General features: G+C 40.8%; 1 protein-coding gene and 1 non-coding gene across 7 annotated transcripts in view, besides 2 other annotated features; both read right to left on the bottom strand.

The window, feature by feature from the left end:
- Nucleotides 1-27,896, bottom strand: part of PDK1 (pyruvate dehydrogenase kinase 1) — a 168,940-nt gene that overhangs the window by 26,304 nt on the left and 114,740 nt on the right. For 3 of the 6 annotated variants that reach the window (XR_007076395.1, XR_007076402.1, XR_007076394.1), the window contains one exon: nucleotides 27,125-27,214. The gene's annotated coding sequence lies outside the window, so the exon portion shown is untranslated. Of the gene's footprint in view, nucleotides 1-25,312; nucleotides 27,215-27,896 lie in introns of those variants that run through there. The other 3 variants (XR_922944.3, XR_001738774.3, XR_001738772.3) reach the window with 2 other exon arrangements.
- Nucleotides 4,536-4,705: an enhancer, noted in NCBI's record as "experimental_56260 CRE fragment used in MPRA reporter constructs". NCBI's record gives its function as "activates a minimal promoter by MPRAs in K562 erythroleukemia cells, with activity observed for both the introgressed and non-introgressed 2:173558117 variant alleles {active_cell/tissue: K562}" and the evidence as "EXISTENCE:reporter gene assay evidence [ECO:0000049][PMID:34662402]".
- Nucleotides 6,607-6,710, bottom strand: LOC124906146 (small nucleolar RNA U13). The gene has a single exon (XR_007088735.1). It is a non-coding gene; the product is annotated as a small nucleolar RNA U13 (small nucleolar RNA).
- Nucleotides 24,634-24,928: a silencer, noted in NCBI's record as "tiled region #7042; K562 Repressive non-DNase unmatched - State 23:Low". NCBI's record gives its function as "represses a minimal TATA promoter and a strong SV40 promoter by Sharpr-MPRA in K562 cells {active_cell/tissue: K562}" and the evidence as "EXISTENCE:reporter gene assay evidence [ECO:0000049][PMID:27701403]".

Below are 27,896 nucleotides of genomic sequence, written 5' to 3'. Positions count from 1 at the left end.
TAAACAAATGCTGACATTTGGATCATTTTCTAGGGTTTCTAGTTTTCCGGTGAGATGCTTCTGACAGTTGCCATGGTAAATCCCTATGGACACCATTTTAAATTCTCCTCATTGGCAAGTAGCATATGGTGAGGATACACTGCAATTTTTGCTAAAACTATAGCTGTGGTAATGTATAATATAAATGAGATACACAGTTCAGCTTCTGTTGATCTGGGCCAGTATCTTCAGAATGGGGAAGTTTCTTCCATCTTCTGAGACAAGGATTACACATATTTGAAAATACGTGTAATTGAAATATTACACATATTTATTGAAAGATTAATGTCACAATAATTGTTTTTAAGAAGATTCTCAATCTTGGGGAGAACCACATGTAATTATTGGGGTTAATTAACATCTCTAAAATCTCTGAGGACTGTATTTTAACTGGAGACATTCTGAGCTCAGCTTGGATCATAGAGCATCACTGCTCAGCACGTGTATTCTAAAGATAAGGAAGGCAGTTGCCCCATCCATCCTGATTAATATGGCCAGTGGTATACTTGGTGTAATCAACAGCCACATAAGAAATACACTTCTTGAAATGTCAGAGGCTTGATAAAGCTGGATATTTACATGTGAAAATAATGGCAGGAACATATCTGGATACTTTACCAGCAAATTTAAAATTAAACGTGCCATTTATTATTTGCCATCCCCTGTCGTATGTCTCTGGGACTGTACAAACAGGGTCAATTACAGATCTTGGGGAATTGGTCACAGAATTATTTCTTGACTTAGTGATTTTTGCCCAGTGGGTTTTGCAGTTGGAATTGGCAAATGAGAGAACTAGATTTTCTTAAGGCAGCAAATGGGTAGCATTCACACAAAGGAGCCCTCTCTATTTGGGGTAATGTCATTGCAAGGATAAGTTGGGAAATATGCTCTCAAACATCTTCCGTTACAAATTCACCAGTTTTACAAGCAGAAGTGGATTTATATTAATAAGTAAGTGCTTTTACTAAGGAAACTTAAACTAATTGGGATAGAAGCAGAGTAATAAATTAGAATATAGTATATAACTTGTGAATGTTGGTTGATTGGCACAAATATTACCACTTTTTACCTCTCCTTTATATATTACTGATATTCAAAGGTGTGTAACACTTTAGAATAATTTCATACACTACAAGGATCCTATAAGATCATGAATAAGTAGTCTTGTGGAAGATATTGAGAAACTTCATAGGATTCCTTATAAAAGATGTTAACTGGAAAAATTTTAGCAATGCAGAAATATAAAGCAATAAAATTAAATTTACTCTTTCCATAGAAATTGGAAGAATGTGACAGAGTCAGAGTGTATAAATAAAGAGAAAATAAGCTATCAATTAGGATATTATTAAATCCTAATATGTCAGTGATCCTATGTCATCATACTAACGCATATTATGATCATTATACACTTTCCTCAACAATCAACTTCTCAGATTATGAGAGCAGCTAAATCAAAATGGCCCACTGTCAAAGATGTTCTATAGCCTTTCATCAACACTTTATAGGCTGTTATATAGGATTCTACCTCACTAAAAAATTAAAATTAGGAGATGTTAAAAACAGGAGTTGGGTAGTGCATGAACTATATATTGCCACAGAGTTATTGGCCTAAAACAAAACAATTTATTACCTCATTGCTTTTTTGAGTGAGGAGTTCAGGCATAGCTTAGCTGGGTTCTCTGCTTAGGGTCTCACAAGTCAGTAATCAAGGTGCCAGCCAAGCTGTGCTCTTATCTGGAGGCTCAACTGGGGAAGAATGCTCTCCTAAGCTTTTTTTTTTCTTTTTTTTTTTTTTTTGAGACAGAGTTTCGCTCTTGTTGCCCAGGCTGGAGTGCAATGGTGAGATCTTGGCTCACTGCAACCTCTGCTCCTGTGTTCAAGGAATTCTCGTGCCTCAGCCCTCTGAGTAGCTGGGATTACAGGCAACTATCACCACACCCAGCTAATTTTTGTATTTTTAGTAGAGACGGGGTTTCACCATGTTGGCCAGCCTGGTCACAAACTTCTGATCTCAGGTGATCCACCCATCTCAGCCTCCCAAAGTGCTGGGATTACAGGCATAAGCCACCACACCCAGCCTCTTCTAAGCTTACTCAGGTTATTGGCAGAATTCATTTCTTTGTAGCTGTAGGACTGAGGGCCCTAGCTTTTTGCTGCCTGGAGGACATCTTCAGCAACCAGGCTATCTGCAGTTCCTCTGAGCCCCCTGTCATTCCTAGAGGCCACCTGCAGTTCCTTGCCACCTGTCTTTTCCCAACATAAGCAATTCATCAAGCCAGCAAGGAGAGTCTCTAGAGCAGTCTCCTAGTAAGATGGAGGTTTATATAATGCAACATAATTCCAGGAGTGGCATCTATCACCTTTGCCATATACTATTGGTTGGGAGCAAGTCCCAGATCCCATCCATGCTCAAGGAGAGGGGCTTACATAAAGGTTTGAACACTGGAAAGCAGGATATGTGGGAGAGTTTAGAGTCTGTCCACCACAGGTAATTTATTTAGCCTGCTTGAGTTTCTTTTTCCCCTTCTGCTAAGTGGGAATTGTAATCTCTACCCTATAGACTGTTGTCTATGTTGTGTGCATGACAAGAGGGCAGAACACAGGACCTGGTGTGGAGTAGGTCCTCAACATATGAGTTAAGTCTTCTGTCTCGCTCTCTTCCCTCCCTTTCCCTTACAGTGTGATAGAGCACAGTATGGCATCCATGGGTTCTTAGAAACTGTGACTTTAAGCAAAATAACATATAATAAAACCAATTTCATCATAGGCTAGTTGATATAAACAAGAGTTAAGTTCCTATGGCATATTTCTGGTCAAAAAAACATCGCTAAACTTTTTTTGTTTTGTTTTTTGAGACAGGGTCTCACTCTGTCACCCAGACTGGAGTGCAGTGGCGTCATATAGGCTCACTGCAGCCTCTGACTCCTGGGTTCAAGTGATTCTCCCACCTCAGCCTCCCAAGTAGCTGGGACTACAGATGCACACCACAATGCCCGGCTAATTTTTATATTTTTTAGTAGGGATGGGGTTTCACCATGTTGGCCAGGCTGGTCTTGAACTCCTGACCTCAAGTGATCCACCCGCCTTGGTCTACCAAAGTGCTGGGATTACAGGTCTGAGCCACCATGCCCGGCCTACCAAACTTCTACATAAAGACTAAAACACTTCTAATATTAAACACTGAAACAAATGAGAGCTATGTATACATTTAAGAAAGATTAATAAAAACAAGTAAGATAATTATTTACCCAATCATTCCAGTTCAGGACCAAGGGTGGCCAGAGTCTATCCCTGCAGTTCACGGTGCAAGGTGGGAATCAACCCTGGACAAGATGACATTCCATCACAGGGCGCACTCATAGCCACACTCACTCAGACTGGAATGACTTAGACACACCAATTCACCAAACTAGCACATCCTTGAGATGTAGGAAGAAACTTGAATGCCTGGAGAATGCCCACACAGACAGGGAGAGTCTGTGCAAACTCCACACAGACAGTGGTTCTGGCAGGAATTGATTTTTTTCTCATCAATGTTATAATGAAACGATGTTGAATGCTATTTGAGGACCTGCTGTATTTCTTTTATTTTCTATTTTCCATTCTTTTTTAGCTCTGTGAAGAAATAAAATTCTAATGGCTTCTGTAAAAACAAAAGGAAGGCTACACTCTTAAATGCTTGGGTAGTCTCTTGTGTAACCACATGGACATTGCATTAGGGCAGTGCAAGAGCCTTACTTAAAGGAAGCATGAAATGCAGTTCTCTTCCCTCAATGCTATGGATCCTAACGTCTTTACTCTGGAGACTGGGAATTCATTTCCTATGGTGAAGGGTGAGGAAAGAGAAAGAGTAGCTTTCTGCCCTCCCTGTCTCCCGGCCCCATGCCTCTCTGCTATGGTCGCCACACGGAGGTGGGACACCCCACACATACACCAAACGTTTTTTCAGATATCCTGACTACACAGGAAGCAAAAGGGTATGAGGAGGTTTACTTCTTACATAATGAGGCTTGCTGGGGAGAGCACAGTAGGCTCCCAAGAAGGTCTGAAAATGGATCTTGAGGGAGAGCCAGGAGGGGAGAGCAGCCTTGGCCTTTATTGTAGTTAGGGAGTGGGCTGGGCTAGAGGTTCCTGCATAAGACAAGAGGACTGTGTGGATTGAGCTTCCTATGGGCACCAAGTGAGGGGAATATGGGCTTTCTTCTCAGCTTGCTCAGATGTGGAGCAAGAGGGGAAGAGGAAGAGGTGTGGCTCCAGAGCTGTCAGCAGTCAAAATAGAGTCCGATTCTTTATTACAGCTTCAAGGCATAGAAAAGCAAAAACAGGTTTGTCCTCTGCCCAACTCTGACCCCATCCGTTTTGCCATTTGGACTTAAATGGAGCTACTCTAATGCCATAGAAACAAAAAAAATCAAACACTCATATAGCATCAGGTACCAGGTACCTTCTAAGCATTTTACATATACCAAATCATTTAATTTTCACAACAACCCTATGAAGTAGGTATGCTAACATTATTACCACTTTACAGAGAAGAAAACAAAAGCATAGTCAAGTATCTTGCCCAGGGTCACCCCCCAGTAAATGGCAAAGCCAGAATTCCAGCTTAGGCAATACCACTCAAGCAGATTCTCCTCACCACTCCCACACTGTGGACTTTTCTGCACGGAGCTGCTGCAGTGACTCATGATTTTATGAGCCAATGGCTTCCAGCCAGTGTGCCATCAACACTTCCCAGGGCATATGGACATTCTGACTCACGTGTAAGATGTATTTTTCCTATCACCACAGTGATGTGTCAGATGGGGCTGAGCTAGCCACGGGCACAGGAGGTGAGAGCAGAACTTGGTGCAAGGGAAGAGGCTCACTGTGGGGTGAGCTGGTCCTCCAGGAGGGTCCAGATTTGACTGAAGCATAAATCTGGTCAGGTAGACACCTCTGTCAAACACCACCCAGTGGGTGCTAAAGGGTGACTTGGAAAACAGAGTGATTACTGTGGATGCTTTTGCAAATTCTGTGAAGCTGTAACTGCAGAACCAACCCAATCTGGTTGAACTTTGTGTAATAAAATGGTGAGTTGGTTTTCAGTTGCCATGGGTTCAAGTTACATAACCTGATTATCCCCAGGTGAACCAAGTGTGCAACCATAGGTGGCCCTAAGTGCTCTGACCAAGGAATATGGGTACCAAATTAAATTAAATGCAGATACCACATGGCATGATCCAATCAGATCACGCCCTGGCATCACCTCATGGCAAGATCCAGCCAGATCACAGCTCCCAGCATCACCTCACTGCAAGATCCAATCACTGCATGCCTCAATACCCTCTCCCTATAAGACCTGCCCTAACCCCCAACTTGGGGAGACAGATTTGAGGCAGACTCCTGTCTCTTTGCTCAGCAGCTTGTAATAAACTCTTCTCTCTACAAAAGCCTGGTGCTTCAGTGTTTGGCCTTCCATGGCGCATGGGCAAATTGACCCAGTTTGGTTCAGTAACAGGCTATTACACTTAAGGAGTGTGATTCTTGCAGACATATTTAGTGGCTTGTTTAAGTGAACAGCAAAAAGTTCTAAACTTTGAAAATACATGACAAACATACAAAGGTTGTAAACTACTATTATATAATCCCAGAGCCACCAGTACCTTGTATTTGAGCCTTAAAAAATTTTTAGTTTGATGGTATATTTCCTCATCAATACCAAAATACATAATTTATATATGGTATAAAGAATAATAAAGCCAATTTTCATGCTCTCTTCATACAGGTTAAGACACAGAATATTTCCAGTGCCAGGAAATCTGTGTACTTATCCCTGGACGCATCCCTCTCCACTGCACCAAAGGTTACATAATTCTGAATGCCTATATTGGTTGCCATCAAGCATGGGCAGGCTGATTATGAAGTGTCACTGATGCCTTTTCAAGTGCTCCAATGTAGGATTCTTGGCCAAAGGGGAGAAATCCAGCTTTCTGTTTAAAAAATACACCAAGGTTCTTACAAGACTAAACATATTCTTACTATACTATCCAATTCCTTGGTATTTACCCAAAGGAGTTGGAAACTTATGTCCACACAAAAACTACACATGGATGTTTATAGCAGCTTTGTTCATAATTGCCAAAACTTATAAGTAACCAAGATGTCCTTCAGTAGATGAATGAATACATAAACTGTGGTACATCCAGACAATGGAATATTATTCAGTGCTAAAGAGAAATGAGCCATCAAGCCATGAGCGGACATGGAGGAACTTCAAATGCCTCTTACTGAGTGAAAGAAACCAGTCTGAAAAGACTAAATATTGTACGATTCCAACTATATGACATTCTGCAAAAGGCAAAACTATGAAGATAGCAAAACGATCAGTGGTTGCCAGGGGTTAGGAGAGAGGGAGGGATGAATAGGCAGAGCACAGAGGATTTTTAGGGCAGTGAATCTACTCTGTAATGATTCTATAATGGTGAATACATGCCATTATACATTTGTCCCAGCCCTTAGAATGTACAAAACCAACGGGAACTCTAATGTAAATTATGGATTTTGAGTGCTATGTATATTTCTTCATGTCAGATGGGTAATGTGCCAATGTCCTAACAAGGTTTGTGGGCGGCACATCCCACACATGCACGTGAACACCAAATCATCATGCTTATGAACTACAACAGGATCGCTTCAGGACGATATTGATGTGTCAATGTAGGCTTATCAATTGTAACGAATGTACCCCTATGCTGTGGGATGTTGACAATTGGGAAGGCTATGCATATATGGGGGCAGAAAGCATATTGGAAATCCCTTTACCTTTTGCTCAATACTTCTGAGAGCCTAAAAGTGCTCTAAAAGCTAGTCGCTTTTAAAAATAAACAGAAAAACCAAGGGTAACTTCACCAGTGTCTTTTTGAGAGGTGAAGCCAGCTGGACTTCCTGGGTTGAGTGGGGACTTGGAGAACTTTTATTTATTTATTTTTATTATTATACTTTAAGATCTAGGGTACATGTGCACAACGTGCAGGTTTGATACCTAGGTATACATGTGCCATCTTGGTTTGCTGTACCCATCAACTCATCATTTACATTAAGGATTTCTCCTATCCCTCCCCCAGCTCCCCACCCCCCCAACAGGCCCCAGTGTGTGATGTTCCCCACCCTGTGTCCAAGTGATCTCATTGTTCAATTCCCATCTATGAGTGAGAACATGCACTGTTTGGTTTTTTGTCCTTGTGACAGTTTGCTGAGAATGATGGTTTCCAGCTTCATCCATGTCCCTGCAAAGGACATGAACTCATCCTTTTTCGTGGCTGCGTAGTATTCCATGGTGTATATGTGCCACATTTTCTTAATCCAGTCTATCATTGATGGACATTTGGGTTGGTTCCAAGTCTTTGCTATTGTGAACAGTGCCGCAGTAAACAAACATGTGCATGTGTCTTTATAGTAGCATGATTTATAACCCTTTGGGTATATACCCAGTAATGGGATTGCTGGGTCAAGTGGTAATTCTAGTTCTAGATCCCTGAGGAATCGCCACACTGTCTTCCACAATGGTTGAACTAATTTACACTCCCACCAACAGTGTAAAAGTGTTCCAATTTCTCTACATTCTCTCCTGCATCTGTTGTTTCCTGACTTTTTGATGATTGCCATTCTAACTGGTGTGAGATGGTATCTCATTGTGGTTTTGATTTGCATTTCTCTGGTGATCAGTGACGATGAGCATTTTTTCATGTGTCTGTTGGCTGCATAGATGTCTTCTTTTGAGAAGTGTCTTTTCATATCCTTTGCCCACTTTTTGATGCGGTTGTTTGTTTTTTTCTTGTAAATTTGTTTGAATTCTTTGTAGATTCTGGATATTAGCCCTTTGTCAGATGGGTAGATTGCAAAAATTTTCTCCCATTCTGTAGGTTGCCTGTTCACTCTGAAGGTAGTTTCTTTTGCTGTGCAGAAGCTCTTTAGTTTAATTAGACCCCATTTCTCTATTTTGGCTTTTGTTGCCATTGCTTTTGGTGTTTTAGACATGAAGTCCTTGCCCATGCCTATGTCCTGAATGGTATTGTCCAGGTTTTCTTCTAGGGTTTTTATGGTTTTAGGTCTAACATTTAAGTCTTTAATCCATCTTGAATTAATTTTTATATAAGTTGTAAGGAAGGGATCCAGTTTCAGCTTTCTACATATGGCTAGCCAGTTTTCCCAGCACCATTTATGAAGTAGAGAATCTTTTGCCCATTTCTTGTTTTTGTCAGGTTTGTCAAAGATCAGAGGGTTGTAGATGTGTGGTATTTTTTCTGAGGCCTCTGTTCTGTTCCATTGGTCTATATCTCTGTTTTGGTACCAGTACCATGCTGTTTTGGTTACTGTGGCCTTGTAGTGTAGTTTGAAATCAGGTAGCATGATCCCTCCAGCTTTGTTCTTTTTGCTTAGGATTGTCTTGGCACTGCAAGGTCTTTTTTGTTTCCATATGAACTTTAAAGTAGTTTTTTCCAATTCTGTGAAGAAAGTCATTGGTAGCTTGATAGGGATGGCATTAAATCTATAAATTACTTTGGGCAATATGGCCATTTTCACGATATTGAGTCTTCCTATCCATGAGCATGGAATATTCTTCCATTTGTTTGTGTCCTGTTTTATTTCCTTGAGCAGTGGTTTGTAGTTCTCCTTGAAGAGGGGACTTGGAGAACTTTTCTTACAAGAGGTTTGTAAAATGCTCCAATCAGTGCTCTGTAAAAATGCACCAATCGGTGCTCTGTAGCTAGCTAGAGGTTTGTAAAATGGACCAATCAGCACACTGTAAAATGGACCAATCGGCACTCTGTAAAATGGACCAATCAGCGCTCTGTAAAATGGACCAATCAGCAGGACATGGGTGGGGACAAATACAGGAATAAAAGCTGGCCACTCTAGCCAGCAGTGGCAACACACTCGGGTCCCTTTCCATGCTGTGGAAGCTTTGTTCTGTCACTCTTCAAAATAAATCTTGCTGCTGCTCACTCTTTGGGTCCGGGCCACCTTTAAGAGCTGTAACACTCACCATGAAGGTCTGTGGCTTCGTTCTTGAAGTCAGCGAGACCATGAACCCACTGGAAGGAACCAACTCTGGACACACCTTCAGCAGAAGATGCTGTGGGGAAGATAGTTGACTGACAGCCTCTGGCTGCCATGTGGGATTCAACAGTGTTCACACTGAGGTCAAGCTTACTCTGGGTTGCACTCAGCCAGTGAATGGCCTAGGTACAGGTGCTAGGGGGAGTGCACTGAGGCTAATTTTCTCCCTATCTTCCTTCCTTCTCTCCTTTCCCAGATATTAGACCTGCAAATGGTCTAAAGACTCTTCTGCCTCTTCCTGCTCCCTCCTCCTTTATCCTTTATAGGCATTTTGAATGCCTCTTGCATATCAAATCCCACGTTGGGGTCTGCTCCTTAGAGGATGCAAACTAACACAAGTGCTACCAAGAGTGGTCCAAGACAACAGTCAGTAAGATGGGGCTTGGGACTGGTTCACACACCACCCAGCTGGCAAGGAGAACACAGTCATGAGGGAAACATCAGGCACAATAATCCCTGGCACAAGGTAGTTAACCTAATTGCTAAGGATTTCAACATTGGTGCTCTGGGATCCCACACAAAGAGCATCTGACCAGGGCTCTTACTACACAGTGCAGGAGGTATGGGAGTGGGATCACACACATCCATCCATACATATCACATACTTCTGGCACAATCCAGAAGGAGCTGCTTCACAAAAGACTGCAACAGCCTACTGAAGGATTAGCTGGAATGCTCAGAGGTCATACTCTGCAAGGATAGGTGCTATCCTGTCCTACATGTTTTAAATAGAGAACTCTATGGCAGTGTGTCCTCTCAAGGAAAAATATATGTGTCTGGAAACCAAGGGTGAAAGCAAAAGTAGTCCCAATTGCCATCATTCTTAATTGACCCACTGTGGGATTATGTGCTTCTTGTCCCCACAATTCTGGACTTTGCAGGGTAGGAGGTCCTTGCTCCCAAAAGGGGATCCCTGTGCAGGGGGACTTGGTAAGGCTTCCACTGAACTGCAATCTATGGCTGCTGCCACCTCACTTGGAAGTCTTTGTGTTCAGTGGGCAGCAGGCAAGAAGAGGAGTCCCCATCTTGTCGGGGCAATTGACTCCCATTAGCAAGAGAAGGTCAGGCTGATTTTACACAATGCAGGCAGAGAGGAATATGTGTGAACCCAAATGATCCACCTGGACACCTCCTGCTATTCTCTTGCCCAGCTGTAACTGTGGACATTTATAGCAACCCCAGCCTGAGAAAGATATGATAAACCAAGCGCTCAGACCCCTCGGAATGAAGGTTTGGGAAACACCACCATGTAATCCACCATGCCTTGATGAGGTGATAGCTGAAGTTGGGGGGTAGGGATTTAGAATGGATAATGGGGAAAAAGAGGATGAGTATGAAGTGTGACCCTGAGACCAATTACAGAAACAGGAGCTATAGTTCATCCTTCTAACTTCCCTCTTCTAATATTCCCAGGAAAACTTGGAGGATGCCCTAAAAATGTAAAAAGATAGGACACATATTCAGAGAAGGATTTGTGATGCATTTAACAACAAAGGAGTATAATCCAGAATATGTTTTTTTAAAAAAAAAAACTTCTTAAATAAATAAATGATAATTTCATAGGAAAATGAGGAAAGACAGGAATTAGTATTTTACAGAGAAGAAACAATATAGACAATAAACATATAAAAAGATATTCAACCTCATTAGTAATTGGCCTGATTCCAATTAAAATCAAATAAAATATATTTGGGAAGGAGGCAGGAAATAGAGTTCATTAAATTGTATGTTTCTCTTTACAACTTCTACATATTACTATATAATATATTGTTAGTTTACATGGGTATTATTGTTTCAAAACAAGCTTAAATACTTCTTATGAATGAGCTCAACCATACAAAAAGTGCTTATATTCCTAAAAATTGTTATATAAAACAGTAGTGCATATGTTATTCTCTTCCTAAAAAATTAGGTGTGATTTTTAAAGATGATATCAAAGACAGATGGTATGTGATTAAGTTCATTTTAGTTGTCTAATAATAGTAATCTTATTTGGATCATGATAGATAGCAGATAGGTAGATATATAGATAGATAGACACATAAATGGATTTAGATCAAGATGTGTCCGGAGTTGGTTCTTTCTGGTGTGTTCCTGGTCTCACCGACTTCAAGAATGAAGCTGCAGACCTTTGCAGTGAATGTTACAGCTCTTAAAGGTGGCACAGCTGATTTATTGTGAGCAGCAGACAGTGAGCAGCAGCAAGATTTATTGTGAAGAGCAAAAGAACAAAGCTTCCACAGCGTAAAAAGTGGCCCAAGCAGGTTGCTGCTGCAGGCTGGGGTGGCCAGCTTTTATTCCCTTATTTGTCCCCGCCCATGTCCTGCTGATTGGTCCATTTTACAGAGTGCTGATTGGTCCATTTTACAGAGCACTGATTGGTCCATTTTACAGTGTGCTGATTGGTCCATTTTACAAACCTCCAGCTAGCTACAGAGCGCTAATTGGTGTTTTTACAGAGCACTGATTGGTGCATTTTACAAACCTCTAGCTAGTTACAAAGCGCCGATTGGTGCATTTTTACAGAGCACTGATTGGTGCATTTTACAAACCTCTTGTAAGAAAAGTTCTCCAAGTCCCCGCCTTGACCCAGGAAATCCAGCTGGCTTCACTTCTCAAAGGGAGATCTTAGCAGTGTATCTCTATGGCTGCCACAGGTGCTGGGCTGTGTTTCTAGGGCCACGATTCCTGTTGATATCCTTTGAGAGACTTTACTAAAGAGTGAAATTCCTTTTTTATGATATTTTGGCCTACTTAGACTCTGTTTCTTTAAATGAAATAGCACTTCAGTGGTGAAACTACATCATACAAGTCTTCAGTGGTTAAATTTAAATATCCAGCACTTAACACAGCTCCTGGAATTTTGTAGAAACCCTGTAAATTTTGTTTGAGGTTGATTTCTCAGGAGCATAGGATGTATGTTGAACAAAATTGGAAATGTGAATGCAAAACAGGAATTTAAACTGGATTTCACAGGCATTGGAGACAACGAAGATTTTTTTGAGCAGCAATACGATGCTGAAAATAGCCACGTGCAGCTGTCTGTTCAGCATCGAATGAGGTGGTATGGAATTTTGGAGGTAATTTGATAGAAACAAAAAGTCACCTAAGATCATTAGAACCCCAAAGTGCTGATTTATCATGAACAATACAACATGTATCGGGTGCATTTATCAGGTTCTGTTCTGTGCTAAGTGCTGATTTGGCATATTTGCAATGATCAATTATAGTATGCAATGCTAAACACTCACATTTTATTAATGTGGTATCTTATTGTTTAACTTAGCAAATCCCAGTGAGGAAAATAATAATTTTCATTTTACAAATGAGGAAAATGAGGCTTAGAATATTTATGTGACTTACCCAAAGTGAGGCTGTGTCTTAGTCTACTGGTTTATTCACTCATTCAGCAAATGATATTTCTTTGTGCACAGCTGGTGAAGTATGTAGAAATCAGAACATGCAGAGCCTTGAAGGCCAGCCTCAGGATTTTAATCCAGGAGAAAGGGAAAATATGGAAGTGAGATGATAAGATTTCTATTTTAAAAGCTCCCACTGCCTCCATTGTGGTCTATGACTAGAGGAGGGCTTCAGGGACTGTTTTGAAGAGGCCAGTCAGGAACCTATTGGAGTGGCTTAGGTGAGTAGAGCTGTTGTATTAGTCTGTTTTCACACTGCTATAAAGAAATACCTGAGATTGGGTAATTTATGCAGAAAAGGGGTTTAAATGACTCACAGTTCCACATGGCAGGGGAGGCCTTGGGAAACTTACAATCACGGCAGAAAGTGAAGGGGAAGCAAGCGCCTTCTTTACAATGTGGCAGGAGAGAGAGAAGTGAGGGAGGAACTTCCAAACACTTATAAAACCATCAGATCTCATGAGAACTCATTCACTATCACAAGAACAGCATGAGGGAAAGCGCCCCATCACCTCCCTCCCTTGACATGTGGGATTACAGGTCCCTCTCTCAACATGTGGGAATTACAATTCAAGATGAGATTTGGATAGGGACATGGAGCCAAACCATATCAGCTGTGGAGGGGAGCAGACAAATTTGAGAGATATTTAGGAGGCCAAAATCGTCAGCAATTGGTGAATGACTGGACATGGGGTGAAGGGGAGGAAGGTGTTAAAAATAACTAGCAGATTCTGGCATGAGCAACTGAGTAGATAATAATGTCCTTGCTGAGACTGAAGACACAAGTAAAGGACCAGGTTTGGAGAGAAAGTTTATATTCAGAGTCAGCCCCTTGATCCCAGCTTGATTAAAGTCACTGGGGCACTGATCCCAAGGCCACTTAAGAGGACTGACTCATCTCCAGATTGGTTTACTGGTCTTGTAAATACCTACAAAGTTTTTATGTTCTCCCCAAAATCTAGCCCCCTTCCTGTCACCAGTTCCTTTTCTATTCTTTATTTTATCTTACTTTATTTTATTTTATTTTGAGATGGGGTCTCACTCTGTTGCCCAGGCTGGAGTGCAGTGGCACAATCTCAGCTCACTGCAATCTCCACCTCCCAGGCTTAAGCAATCCTCCCACCTCAGTGCCCTAAGTAGTTGGGACCATAGGCATGCACCACCACACCTGGCTAATTTTTTGTATTTTTTGTAGAGACGGAGTTTCACCATGTTTCTCAGGCTGGTCTCAAACTCCTGAGCTCAAGCAATCCACCTGCCTGGGCCTCCCAAAGTGCTGGGATTACAGGCATAAGCCACTGCACCCAGCCCAGTTCCTTCTCTAAAATAGAAATGATTATCACCATTGCTCAAAAAATATATTTCTCTCCTCCCTATCAAAAAATAGAATCCAAATATTTCCCAACTTACCATTTCTGCTGCCAGGGTATTCTCAGCTATAAAAATCTCTTTCCTGGCCCTCTGTTATGCCTCCAGGGTTGCTCTCATCATAATGTCTCTAGTTTATATGTATTTCTCCTGCTTCTAAAAGGCAAAGAACCATTCCAGTCTTCCTCTGGGCTGCAGGCCCTGAACATCTAAGTACAACAGGTCAGTGTTTCCCAGCACACCACTCGCTTGGTTTTCATTCTTTCTCACTGGTTGCTCCCATTCAGTCACTTTTGCTGGTTTCTCCCTATTTTCCCAACCTCTTAAAGATGAAGTCATCTAGGCCTCAATCTTTTGACCTATTTTGTAACTTTACTCATCCCCACAGTAGTCCCAATCTAATTCCATGATTTTAAATATAATCCATGCATTACTCACTCCAAATTAACATCCCTGGGAAGACATCTTCCTAAACTACAAATGTATATATCCATGTATCTATTCAACATCTTCACTTGGAGATGAATTAACATCTCAAATTTAACACACCCCACTCTTGCACCTGTTCTGCTCAAGTGAGATGCCTGCTCCCCCTTCACCTTCTGCCATGACTGGAAGCTTCCTGAGGCCTCCCCAGAAGCTGAGCAGATGTCAGTGCCATGCTTCCTGTACAGCCTGCAGAACTGTTAGCCAATTAAAACTCATTTCTTTATAAGTTGTTTTTTTTTTTTTTTTTGACGGAGTTTCGCTCTGTCGCCCAGGCTGGAGTGCAGTGGTGCGATCTCAGCTCACTGCAAGCTCCGCCTCCTGGGTTGATGCCATTCTCCTGCCTCAGCCTCCCAAGTAGCTGGGACTATAGGCGCCTGCCACCACGCCTGGCTAATTTTTTTGTATTTTTAGTAGAGACAGGGTTTCACTGTGTTCGCCAGAATGGTCTCAATCTCCTGACCTCGTGATCCGCCCGCCTCGGCCTCCCAAAGTGCTGGGATTACAGGTGTGAGCCCCCATGCCCAGCCTCTTTATACGTTTTTTAAAAAGCACACAACCCAAACCTCACTCCAAGTAGACCCTTTCAAGCCTGTTCCATCACCTCACTTCCTCAGCCTTATAAGGTATCAGCACAAAAACCATAAAGTCAAACAGCTCTCCTTTTTTGTCATGAAAGTCTATGGGCTCTACCTTCAAAATATATTCATGGTCCAGCCTCTTTATTTTGTGTTACTCCACTGCTAATGCCTTTTTCCAGGCCACCACCATTTCTTACCTAGACTATTACAACAGCCTCCCCATTAATCTTCTGAATTTCACTCTTGGCCTTTGTCTTAGTTAGGGTAGGCTAGATTTCCACAACAAAAGTACCTCCAAATCTCAGTATTTTCAAGAACAAGAAATTTATTCCTTTCTTATGTAACAGTCTGGGCTGGGTTTAGGTCTGCAAAGCAGCTCTCCACCACACACTCATTCCTTTCTCAGCCAATGGCCACTCTACTGTCTTCTAGTCACATGACCACACCTGCATGCAGAGGAGGACAGGAAATGTGGTCCCTGGTTAGCCAGCTGCTTCCACTGACAACTCTCCACTGTGGAGGAAGGAGGGTGGATTTTGGCAGTCTGCTGGCCATCTCCACCACACTCCCTATGGATCATTCTCACTGCAGTGGCCAGACTTTGAAACACATATCAGATCAGGTCACTCGTCTGCCCACAGACTTCCAGGGCTCTCCATTTCACCTTCAGAAAAAACCCTGAGAGGGGCTTCCATGTCCCAGTACCATCTGAGCCTTCATCATTTTGCTGATGTCCTCTCCTATTCTCCCCCTGCTCTCTCTACTACAGCCACACAGCCTCCTTGTTGTTCCTCAGACATGCTGGCCATGGTCCCACCTCGGGGTCTCTATATGACTGGAATCTCTTCTTCCAGATACTGGCAGAATTGACTTCCTTATCACTTTCAAGCCTTTGCTCAAATGTCAGCTTTCAATAAGGCCTACATCGACTTGCTCATTTAAAATTGTAATTCCTGGCTGGGCGTGGTGGCTCACGCCTTTAATCCCCAGCACTTTGGAAGGCCGAGGTGGACAGATCACTGGAGGTCAGTGGTTCAAGACCAGCCTGGCCAACATGGTGAAATCCTGTCTCTACTAAAAATACAAAAATTAGCCGGGTGTGGTGGCGGGTGCCTGTAGTCCCATCTATCAGGAGTTTGAGGCTTGAGAATCGCTTGAACCTGGGAGATGGAAGTTGCAGTGAGCAGAGATCGTACCACTCCACTCCAATCTGGGCAACAGACTGAGACTCCATAAAAAATAATAATAACTAATAGATAAAATTGCAATTCCCCACCTTGCCCACTTACACTCCTCATGCCCATTACCCTGATTTTCCTTTTGTATACCATTAATCACCTCTGAACATGTATAATTTACTTATTTATTATGTGTATTGTCTATCTTCCGCAACTAGAACATCATGTCTACTTTACATACTGTTGTTTCCCCAGCACTTAGAATAATGTCTGGCCCCATAATAGGTGCTCAATGAATATTTGTTGAATGAATGAATGACAGAAGCTGAGAGAAGTACTCAATGCACGTAGGTGCTGATAACTCATTTTCTATCTCATGGTTAGGAAGGACTGCCTCTCAGCTGCATGCCAAGTCTCACAAGGGAATTAGAAAAGAGAACACTAATTAACTGGCACAAGTCTATCCCCACTGCAAAAACAAAATTCAAAATTAAATAATAAAGCTCCATAATGTGCATGTCCACTATTAGTGATCAGAATTATCAACTTCACTGGGACTGGGGCGGCATTATGTAATAATACGGATTTTGTCCCTGGTTCAGAGCATCGCTTAACTTCTTTTCACTCCTTTCCTCTGTGGGCACAACTTTCGTTCCCAATAAATTAAATACAGTGCCTAGTTTAAATGATTGCTACCAAACTGTTCCCAAAGAGAAAGAAAAACTCTCAGAGTTATTACAGTCCAAAACAAGAGAGATCACAATATCTAGCAGCACACAACAGCTCAGAAATAAGCCAGATGTACTAAGCCTGTTGCCAGGTGAAAGATGGAGTATAGTTTCTTGCCATAATTTATACTTCCCCTGAGTTGCTTCATAGGCTAAGGAATGAGCCAACAGTCACTAAAAAGAAAGAGAAGTGTCAAAGCCTGATGGCAATCCCAGGTTTTTCCTTTGTCTAATTGGCCCAGGCCCTCTGTAGCTGCTTTTGAGATCTGCCTTAAGCTCTCTGTTGCCTGTAAGCTGTCACAATACCCATTGTCTTATTCCCTTTGGACTAGAGAGCTTTGACCAGTTGCCAAATTCAGAATTTATTGTTGGAGTCAAGTTTTCAATGAGTGCACATTGTTTCCAGACAGGTTCCTGTAGACATAAAGTAAAAAAGAATAGGGCCAGCCACGATAGCACACATCTATAATCCCAGCACTTTGGGAGGCTGAGGGAGAGAAGTGCTTGAAGCCTGGAGTTCAAGACCAGCCTGGTCAACATAGCTAGACCCCGTCTCTACCACAAAAAATAAATAAATAAATAAATAAAAATTAGTGGGCATGGTGGTGCATGCCTGTACCCTCAGCTATTCCAAAGGCTGAGGTGGGAGGATCACTTGAGCCCAGGAGTTCAAGGCTGCAGTGAGCTATGATCACGCTACTGCACTCCAGCCTAGGCAGCAGAGTGAGACCTTGTCTCTATTTAAAAAAGAAAAGAAAAGAAAGAAAGAAAGGATAGTACAATTCATTTATTCAGTAAATATTGATTGAGCATCCACTATGCCCAAATACTGAACCTAGGGCATTCAATGATGAACAAAATAGAATGGCCCCTTCCGAGAGCTTGCAATTCAGGAAAAATTCTGGCAAGTAAACAATTACTAATATGCAATTGTGATAAAGACTGTGACAGAGCATGCAAGGAAGAAGCACCTGGCTGGAATTTGGTATATTAGGGGTTGAACTTGGGGGTCAAGAAAAGTTTTACAATATAACTCTACTAAGAAAAATGGACCTGATATAAGTTTTCTCTTAAGCATTGAGGGGAAAATGGTTTCAAATTAAGAAGACTGGTTTTGGTATTTCTTGTGTCTCTGAAATAGGGTCTTGTGTCTGTTTTGACAGATAATTCTACTTAAAGAAATAAAAAATAAAAAACCTAAGTTTAGGTGTGCTCTAAATGAAGAGGCTAAAAAAAACCCAAAACCCTAAGGTTAGAGATTTAACCTGTGTTCGACCTGGTTTCCAATAGCTAGATCTGCTGAGTTATTACCTTCTTTTCTTTCTTGTTTCTGTTTTGCTTCCATTCTTTTTTTTTCTTTCTCTCCCCATTTTTTTCCATTATAACTTCAATTTAGAGGATACATGTTAATATACAATAAGCTACAATTTCACAATCTATTGGGCCTATTTTACTGCAAATACTCTGAACAAGTTGTTCACCCTATGATGGTCATCACTGATCCAAACCCTCCTCAAAACTATAGTACATTAGGCTATAAAAATGTTTTCCAAAAGAAAATGCTTCCAGTTCTTTCTTTCTTCAAGACTTCATGACTTCATCTTGTTGCTCAAATAACAATGAAAAATAAAATATTCTTTTGTTGTTGTTGTTGTTGTTAAGAGACAGAGTCTTGCCCTGTTGCCCAGGCTGGATGACAATAGTGGCATCATAGCTCACTGCAGCCTCAAACTCCTGGGCTTCAGTGATCCTCCTGCCACAGCTTCCCAAGCAGCTGGGAATACAAGTGCATGTCACCACACCTGACCAATCTTTAAAAAAAAATTTAGAGACAGGGTCTCACTATGTTGCCCAGGCTAGTCTTGAACTCCTAGCTTCAAGCAATCATCCCATCTCAGGCTCCCAAGTCATTGGATTTATAGGCATGAGTCATCATGCTTGGCTTAAAATTTTCTTTGAGAATAAAAATTTAGGGAAGTTTCAAACTAATGAGCATCAAGTCAGCAGTAAAAAACATACCATTATCCCTAAAGGCACACATTACAGGCTATATTTCTGAATGTTCAATTATTATTGCTTTAGGTACCATTGTCTTAAAGAAATCTCTGCGACAGAGTCAACATCATACACTCTAAGCTCTAGAGCTATATTTTGTAAAAACAAAAAAGGTTTCCCTGCTTCACTTTGCCTGCGGACCCCCTTCTGATGAACTCCACTCAGGGTAAGCCTGGTAAGCCATTACACCTGTACTTGGAAATATCATCTGATAAACCTGGTTTCTCAAAGGTTTTTCTGCCTTTGAAAATGCTACTGAATGTTGCTTTTATTCATTAACAAATAACTAATAAGCATCTACTTTGTGCCAAGGCCCTATTTCAGAGACAAAGAGGACCTAGTACTTATTGTCCCTCCAGTGGCACCTTTCTTAAATTGGGGAAAGAATCAAATACATAGTATAGGAAGTAAGTATTCCAGGAGTCCTTCTATATGGCCTCTTGCTATAAAAGGAACATTTTGGTTTATATCAAAAAGCATTAGGCAATGTTAATCTAATCTGTTCTAAAAAGTCAACTTTTAAGTTTATTTTAATATAATGCATAAGCATTATTTTAAATCAAATAGTACTAATAGACTGTTAAAAGCCAACAGTCTCCTGTCTTACTCTCTCCAACCACCAATCCCACTCCCTAGAGACTGCCACTTCCAACTGAATTACCTGTCTCATCTGGCATTTACCTCTACATTTAAAATAATATGCCTGTAATTTGGGTGACCATACATCTAGTTTGCCCATCAATTCCAATTTGTACCTGTTGTCTCAGAATAATTATAGCCAGTGGTCCCTTCACTCTCAGAAGTGTCTCTATGTGATTCATTACAGGATCGATAGACTTCCCTTTGTGGTTGAGCCCTCTGACTCCCTTTCTTTCTTTTTTTTGAGACGGAGTCTCCCTCTGTCACCCAGGCTGGAGTGCAGTGGTGCAATCTTGGCTCACTGCAACCTCCGTCTTCTGGGTTCAAGGGATTCTCCTGACTCAGCCTCCTGAGTAGCTGGGATTTACAGGCGCCCACCACCATGCCCGGCTAATTTTTGTATTTTTAGTACAGACAGGGTTTCACCATGTTGGCCAGGCTGGTCTCGAACTCCTGACCTAAGGTGATCCGCCTGCCTTGGCCTCCCAAAGTGCTGGGATTACAGGCGTGAGCTACCGCACCCGGCCTAATTTCCCTTTTATTCATCCTCCCAATGTAGCTATACAGTTTTGGATTAAATCCATAATCAATATTTACCTTATTTTGACCATCTAAGTATTATTCACTGCTAAGCCAAATAACTTCACTGTGATGTTTTCATTCTTGTATAAACTTTTGTTTTCTCTGAAGTTAACAACTGCCTCTTTTTAAGATGTTTAATTATTTGTGTACTTTTATTTTTCCCAAAATGCTTTAACAGAGCTGTGAAATGTCTAGGCAATAATTTTCCTAAGTGCTCAAACACTTCCAATTGTTATTTTCCCTTAACAGCCTTGTTCCTGGAGCCCTCTTCCTCTGGCTGCAATCCAGAGCAAGTTGCTGTCTGGACTTGTTGAAAAGCTGTTGTCCTGAGACTTCTCTTCAAATTCTAAGGAAAAATTTACTTTTTCTCAGGATTCTAAACCCAATCAAATAATCAAGTGTAAAGGCAAAATAGATACAAAATGTACCTTGCAAATACTCTAGGAAGCTACTGGAAGAAAGGCTTCAGCAAATAAAGGAAGTGTATGAAGAAAGAAAGAAGCATGGCACATTGCTACCTTAACTAATAAAAATCTCTGAACTTTCCGGTCCCATCTGAGGAAGCAAAAATGCTACTTGCTGCAAAAACGACACCATTTATCACACTGCAACAAAAGCAATGTATAGGCATGCCTTGGGGATATGTGAGTTTGATTCCAGACTACTTCAATAAAATGAATACTGCAATGAAGTCACACAATTTTTTTTGTTTCGCAGTGCATATAAAAGTTATATTTACTTTATACTGTAGTCTGTTAAGTATGCAGAAGCATTATGTATTTAAAAAACACTATACGTATCTTAATTTTAAAATATTTTATTGCTAAAAAATGCTGACAACTGTCTGAGCCTTCAGTGAGTTGTAATCTTTTTGCTGGTGGATGGTCTTGCCTCAATATTGGTGGCTGCTGACTGATCAGGATGGTGTTGCTGAAGGATGGGGTGGCTATGGCAAATTCTTAAAACAAGACAACAATGAAGTTTGCCACATGGATTCAATCTTCCTTTCACAAAAGATTTCTCTGTATTATGAGATGCTGTTTGATAGCATTTGGCCCACAATATAACTTCTTTCAAAATTGGAGCCAATCCTCTCAAAACCTGCTGCTGCTTTATCAACTAACTTTATGTAATATTCTAAATCCTTTTTTATCATTTCTACAGTGTTCACAGCATCTTCCTCAGGAGTAAAGTCCATCTCAAGAAACCACTTTCTTTGCTTATCCTTAAGAAGTAACTCCCCATCTGTTCAAGTTTTATCATGAGATTGTAGCAATTCAGTCACATCTCCAGGCTTCATTTCTAATTCTATTCCCTTTCTATTTCTATCACATCTATAGTTATCTCCTTTATTGAAGTCTTAAATCCCTCAAAGTCATCCATGAAGGTTGGACTCAACACCCAAACTCCTGTTCATGTTGATATTTTGACCTCCTCCCATGAATCACTAACGTTCTTAATGGCACCTAGAATAGTGAATCCTTTCCAGAAGGTTTTCTATTTACTTTGCCCAGATATATCACAGGAATCACTATCTATAGCAGCTACAGCCTTACAAAATGTATTTCTCAAATAAGACTTGAGAGTCAAAGTTACTCCTGAATCCATGGACTGCAGAATGGATGTTGTGTTAGCAGGCATGAAAATCATGTTAATCTCCTTGTACATCTCCCTTAGAGCCCTTGAGTGACTAGGTGCACTGTCAATCAGTAGTAATATTTTGAAAGAACTATTTTTTTCTGAGCAGTAGATCTCAACAGTGGGCTTAAAATATTCAGTTAACCATGATATAAACAGATGTGCTGTCATCTGAGCATTGTTGTTTTACTTATAAAGCACAAGCAGAAGAGATTTAGCATAATTTTTAAGGGCCCTAGGATTTTCAGAATAATATGTGAGCCTTGGCTTCAACTTAAAGTCACCAGCTGTGTTAACCCTTCACAAGAGAGTCAGCCTGTCCTTTGGAGCCTTGAAGCCATTGGCTTCTTCTCTCTAATTCTGAAAGTTTTAGATGGCATCTTCTTCCAATAGAAGGCTGTTTTTTCTAAATTGAAAATTTGTTGTTTAGTGTAGCCACCTTCATCAATGATCTTAACTGGATCTTCTGGATAGCTTGTTGCAGCTTCTCCCTCAGCACTGCTGCTTCACCTTGCACTTTTATGTTATAGAGATGGCTTCTTTCCCTAAACCTCATGGACCCACCTCTAGTAGCTTCAAACTTTTCTGCTGTAGCTTCCTCACCTCTCTCAGCCTTGATAGAATTGAAGAGAGTTAGGGCCTTGCTCTGGATTAGACTTTGGCTGAAGGGAATGTTACGGCTGGTTTGATAATCTCTCCAGAACACTCAAACCTTCTCCATATCAGCAATAAGGATGCTTCACTTTCTTATCATTCTAGTGCTCACTAGAGTAGCATTTGTAGTTTCCTTCAGCAATTTTTCTTTTGCATTCACAATTTGGCTGTTTGGTGCAAGGGACCTAGCTTTTGGCCAATCTTGGCTTCCAACATGCCCTCCTCAGCAAGCTTAATCAGTTCTAGCTTTTGATTAAAGTGAGAGAGGTGAGATCTTCCTTTCACTTGAACACTTAGAGGCCACTATAGGGTTATTAACTGGCCCAATTTCAATATTGTTCTGTCTCAGGGAATGGGGAGGCCGAGGAGAGAGAGAGTGAGAGAGAGAAGACAAGAAGCAGCCAGTGAGTGGAGCTGTCTGAGCACACACATTTATCAATCAAGTTTGCCATCTGCTATGAGCGTGCTTCGTGGTTCCCCAATTACTATAGTAACATGAAAGACCACTGATCACAGATCATTATCACACATCATCATCACACAGATAAAATAATGGTGGCAAATGTGAAATATTGTGAGAATTACCAAAATGTGACAAAGCGAGCACATGCTGTTGGAAAAATGGAACTGGGCCCGCGAAGTCCCCGCCTGCTGTCCCCGCAAGGTGGCGCCTTGGACGCGGGCGCACAGCCCGGGAGAGGCTCAGGAAGCCCAGGGCCCGGCCCGGCAGCCTGCAGCCCGAGGGCTTCGCCCCTCCCGAAGGCCCTGAGCTCCATTCTAGGCGTTCAGACGGGACAAGGGCGGTGGAAGATGAAATGAGAACCAGAGTTTGACAAAGAACTGGCAAAATAAAAGAAAACTCACACAGGACTTAGGAAGAGAGAAAATCTTCATCGGGAAGTTCTGATGGAAAGGAACCTGCATCCACAGTGCTGACGACTTCTGCAGAGGGGAGCGTCCTGAGGAGGAGGCGGACACAATTGCCTGTGGTGCCACACTAAAGACGTCCCAAGACACATGCTGCCACCTGGCATTCAACCCAGACTCCCAGTACATTTAAGAAGCATAGTCGTGGACCAGAAAATCAGACTCTGGAAGTGGCTCTGCATTTCTGGGATCCTCCGGCTGAAGGAGGATGTGGTTTGCCAAGATATCCACCCGGCTGACCTCAAATTCGCAGAGAGCAGTCCCGAGCCCCAGCCAAGCTCACAGGACGACTTTGAAACGTGCCCTGGCACCCATCAAAGTTACACGCGTGGACTGCGGAGTGCAGGACGAATTTGATTTGAAGTTTCGCTGAACCCTTGAGAGACTTCTGGGTCATGAGCTAACTGCGCCACCTGCGGCCACCAAAAGAAACAGCTCCTCCCAGGTCTGGTGGAAGGCTGATCAGGTGCCAAGCACGTGTGCGCACTTGCACCTGGGGGCTTCTTTGTTGATAGTTCATCATCTCACAATAAATTGTTAGTCAAGCCTTATTTTCTTAAGGAACATTAATTTCATGTATAGTGAGTGTATTTTGTATGTTTTAAATTGTAAATGGGGCTAAATCCAAGGAAGCTCAAACTTAACGCAGGCTTGTGGCAAACTTTGCTTTAATCCCCTACCATGCTCCAAGGTAAACTGACAAGTATACTGAAATGGATTTTCCACAAGTATTTTAAGTTGCCACTTGTCAGATGGGTTGTTTTGGATTTAACCATGTAATTCATGGGACCAATTGAGAGTAATCTTTCTTTACAGGTGTCTGGCAAAGCAGTGTCAAGAGTCAGACACCTTTACTATCTTTATGGAAACTTAATTTTTGGCCTTTTATCAATATGTCAGACAGGGCTCTGAACAAACATGTTAAGTTGAGCTGTTAAACTGATGGGTTTTATGGAAGTTTACATTCTTCATTTGGTACCTGTGTTACAGTAGGTAGCTAGTCAGTCATGAGCAGGACAGGAGAGGGCCCTCCCCCAGCACACACACCAGGAATGTCAGGCGACCATCACGTGATGCTCAGGGAGGTTGTTAACTGTCTCTCTAAAATAATAATTAGTCATAGCCAGGGCCAGGGAAAGGCAGTTTCCCAATAGATAGAAAAACCTGAGCCTAGTGATCAGCAGCTTCCTGATAAGATCCCAGGAGTTGGGCGATTGGGCTCAAGCATGTTTATTAAGGGACAAAATGGTGGAATTTAACTGGCATATGACCTCCAAGGGACATTCAACTAGTAAGGGAAGAATGCCTCAATTGAACATGCGTACAACTCCAATAAACACAGTGCACATGCTCACCTCCCAAGTGCTGGCAGGCCACTGTGCATGTGGACAACACACCCCAAGGGAAGAATCAGGTTGAGAAGAGATGCAAGACCCGGGAAGTATGCCAACATAGAAAATCCCAAGTCAAAGGTCAAACAGCGCACTTAATCTCTCCAGTTGCCCACTTGGCCTTCTTCCAAGTGTACTTTACTTCCTTTTATTCTTGTGCTAAAGCTTGATAATAAATTTCACTCCCACTCTAAAACTTGCCTCAGTCTCTCCTTCTGCCTCATGCCCCTCAGTTGAATTATTTCTTCTGAGGAGGCAGGAATTGAGGCTGCTGAAGACCCATATGGATTTGCTGCTGGTAACATGCTTTGATGCTGTATGACTTGGGTATGTCCTGCTGCTAACATTTGTAAATAGAGCTAGGTGCATTCTTTATCTATAATACTCCAAGATTTAATGCAGCAGAGCGACTTATAAAGAACACTTTTTAACAATCAGTGGATTTACCACATAAAATTGCTGTAAATTATAATGTGTACAGATTTTTTGTTCAAATATTCCTTTGTAAACTTAATATTAACACTGTTATGTTTCTACTGCTTTTTATTGAATGATATTGTAAAAATACAAAGAAAAGCATCTTGTTTTTTAAAAAAAAAAAGAAAGAAAAATGATACTGATGGACTTGCTCAATGAAGAGTTGCCACAAATCTTCAACTTGTAAAAAATGCAGTATCTGTGAAGGGTAATAAAGCAAAGCACAATTAAACGAGGTGTGCTTGGATAGGGAGGTCTCAGCAGCCTTTTGGGGTCATTATTTAAAAATCACAAATCCTCAATAATTATGGGAATGTGCTTAACATTTAGACTGTGAAGAGAACAAATGGTGAAATAAACAAATTTACTTAGCAAGGAGTGGAGGAAGGAAGGTATGTCATCTAGAGAACTGGTGATTCATGGATAAAAATACAATCACTGAACACATAAAGGAGAGCTATGACTTAGCAAGAGAGTTTGTTCTGATGTATGATGCTAATTTCAAACTTTAAACAGCTTGAAAAGGGAGGAGAATGACTAAAATGAGAGGCTCAACTGATTCAGAGATAAAGAATATAAAATCAATAGTTCTGGGAAGGATCTACATTTGTCTTCCTCTCTGCAGACCTACAAACATTGCAAGAATACTTCTTGTCTCTTTCAAAGTCAAGTACGCTCTCCTTACCAAGATTCCCACTTCTACCAACTCATGGTGCTTATCTTTCTGGAGGTTTCCCATATAAATAGTAAGAGAAAAACGGCAGCTGACTTTCTCTCTCCTATCCAATTAATTTGTTCACTCATGAAATAAATATTTATTGAGAATTCATCTTTCTCCAAATTTTTATCTTGTTTTCCCTTCTCTGAAATGTATTTCACTTTTTACTGTGTTACCTGTCTTCACTTTCATTGTAACTTGCTAGGGATATCCTAAGGGCAATGATAAACTATTACTCTAAGACAGAAACATTGCCTCTTCTCTTTCTCTTCTGCATTCATGTTTCACCATAGACACACAGATAAAAAGAGATGTAATTACCCCTTATGACTCACGTGTGCTCAGATTTATTGGTTTATTACATTATCAGTGTGTGCTATATCAAGAATAGTCATTATATCAAATACAATCATTTAGACAGTAATTTACAAAGAAACTTCACAACCTATAGTTCAAGTTATTTTTACAACAACCAAAAAAAAAAAAACCAATAGAGGGAAGAAGTATTATAATCCTCTGAGGGAGCAACTGAGGCCTAAATATATTAAGAGCTTAAAAAAAAAGCATTAACTTACAGATACATTCCAATCTATTTTGGTTATTTTAGCTTGAAAATTCCTAAAGAATAAAAAATTTATCTTTGAATGATATATATATTATTTATTCATATAATTATCAGATATCAATTATTCATAGTTATAACATAATTATTTATAGTAGTGATATATAAAGGTGACAAAATCTTACGGGTCTTAGTGGTTGATGAGAAAGAAAACCAAATTTGTTCAAGGTCTTTAGATTTAACAAAGACTAGGATGACGCAAAACAAGTAACTGCAAAATAAACTTATCCTACAATATATGATAAAGAAAAGATACTCAGAATAACAGTTGCAAAGACAAGCTATTAAGTTGTGCTTTTAAAAAAAAAAAAAGACACCCAAAACACGGCAGGGAATTAGATTTTTTATCATCCTTCCTATAAAGATAAGTCATTTTGCAGGAACATCTACATCATAAAAAATCAAAACATCTCTATGGATCAAAGTCAACACGTTAGCATTTTGTAGCTCCTGAGGCAATGTAAGAAGTATAACTATTAACAAAGTTCATCCAATTGGATGACAGACTCAAATAACTCACCTTGGGAGGGACGTTCGTGCCTTTTATCTCAAGACCTGAATCATGGACTATCAATCCCTCTTATAACCTTCAAGAGCTTGAGAGGTTAGCCTGAGAAAGAATAGAAATATAAATAAAGAAAATTTAAAAATAAATACACCATACAAATACTTTTATAACCAAGTGAACCGATCAGTTTTGCAATCATTGCAATATTGATTTCATTTATTTTTTAGTGTTTAAGACATTTAAGAAAACCTTAATTTTTTTAATGCCTATTTCTTTGAGTATTTACTTAATGCCCAAGGGAAATTCTGTATGAGGAAAAAAATGTTCACTATTTGTACTTTGTCTAAAATCAAATTTATAAACCTTCAGGCAATTGACATTCTCCAAATATTCACACATTACTAAGATAACATTAATTAAAACTTCATAAATTTAGCAAACTAAATTTCCATGTGTAAACATCGACAGCAAACTTAACATTTTCTCACTCAGCTGAAAGTTCAAGTATAGTATGTTAGATTTCATAAATTAAATTATAATTGTCAATATTTTTGCAGGTAGTTCAAATTATGGAAATGTTCCTTTTGAGCAACACTGGAGATCCTAGAATATGAAAATTTTAGGTCATGGTTATTTTTCTTTAAAATCTGTGTAAAATTTACAAATTTAAGCAATTTTTAGCTGGGCACAGTGGCATGAGCCTTTAGTTCCAGCTGCCCGGAAGGCTAACGTGGGCGAATCACTTGAGCCCGGGAGGTGAAGGCTGCGGTGAGGTCTGATTGTG

Source organism: Homo sapiens, chromosome 2 (assembly GCF_000001405.40).
Source record: "Homo sapiens chromosome 2, GRCh38.p14 Primary Assembly".
Lineage (NCBI taxonomy): Eukaryota > Metazoa > Chordata > Mammalia > Primates > Hominidae > Homo > Homo sapiens.
The sequence above is the reverse complement of the archived record's forward strand: the minus strand, read 5'-3'. Positions and strand labels throughout refer to the sequence as shown.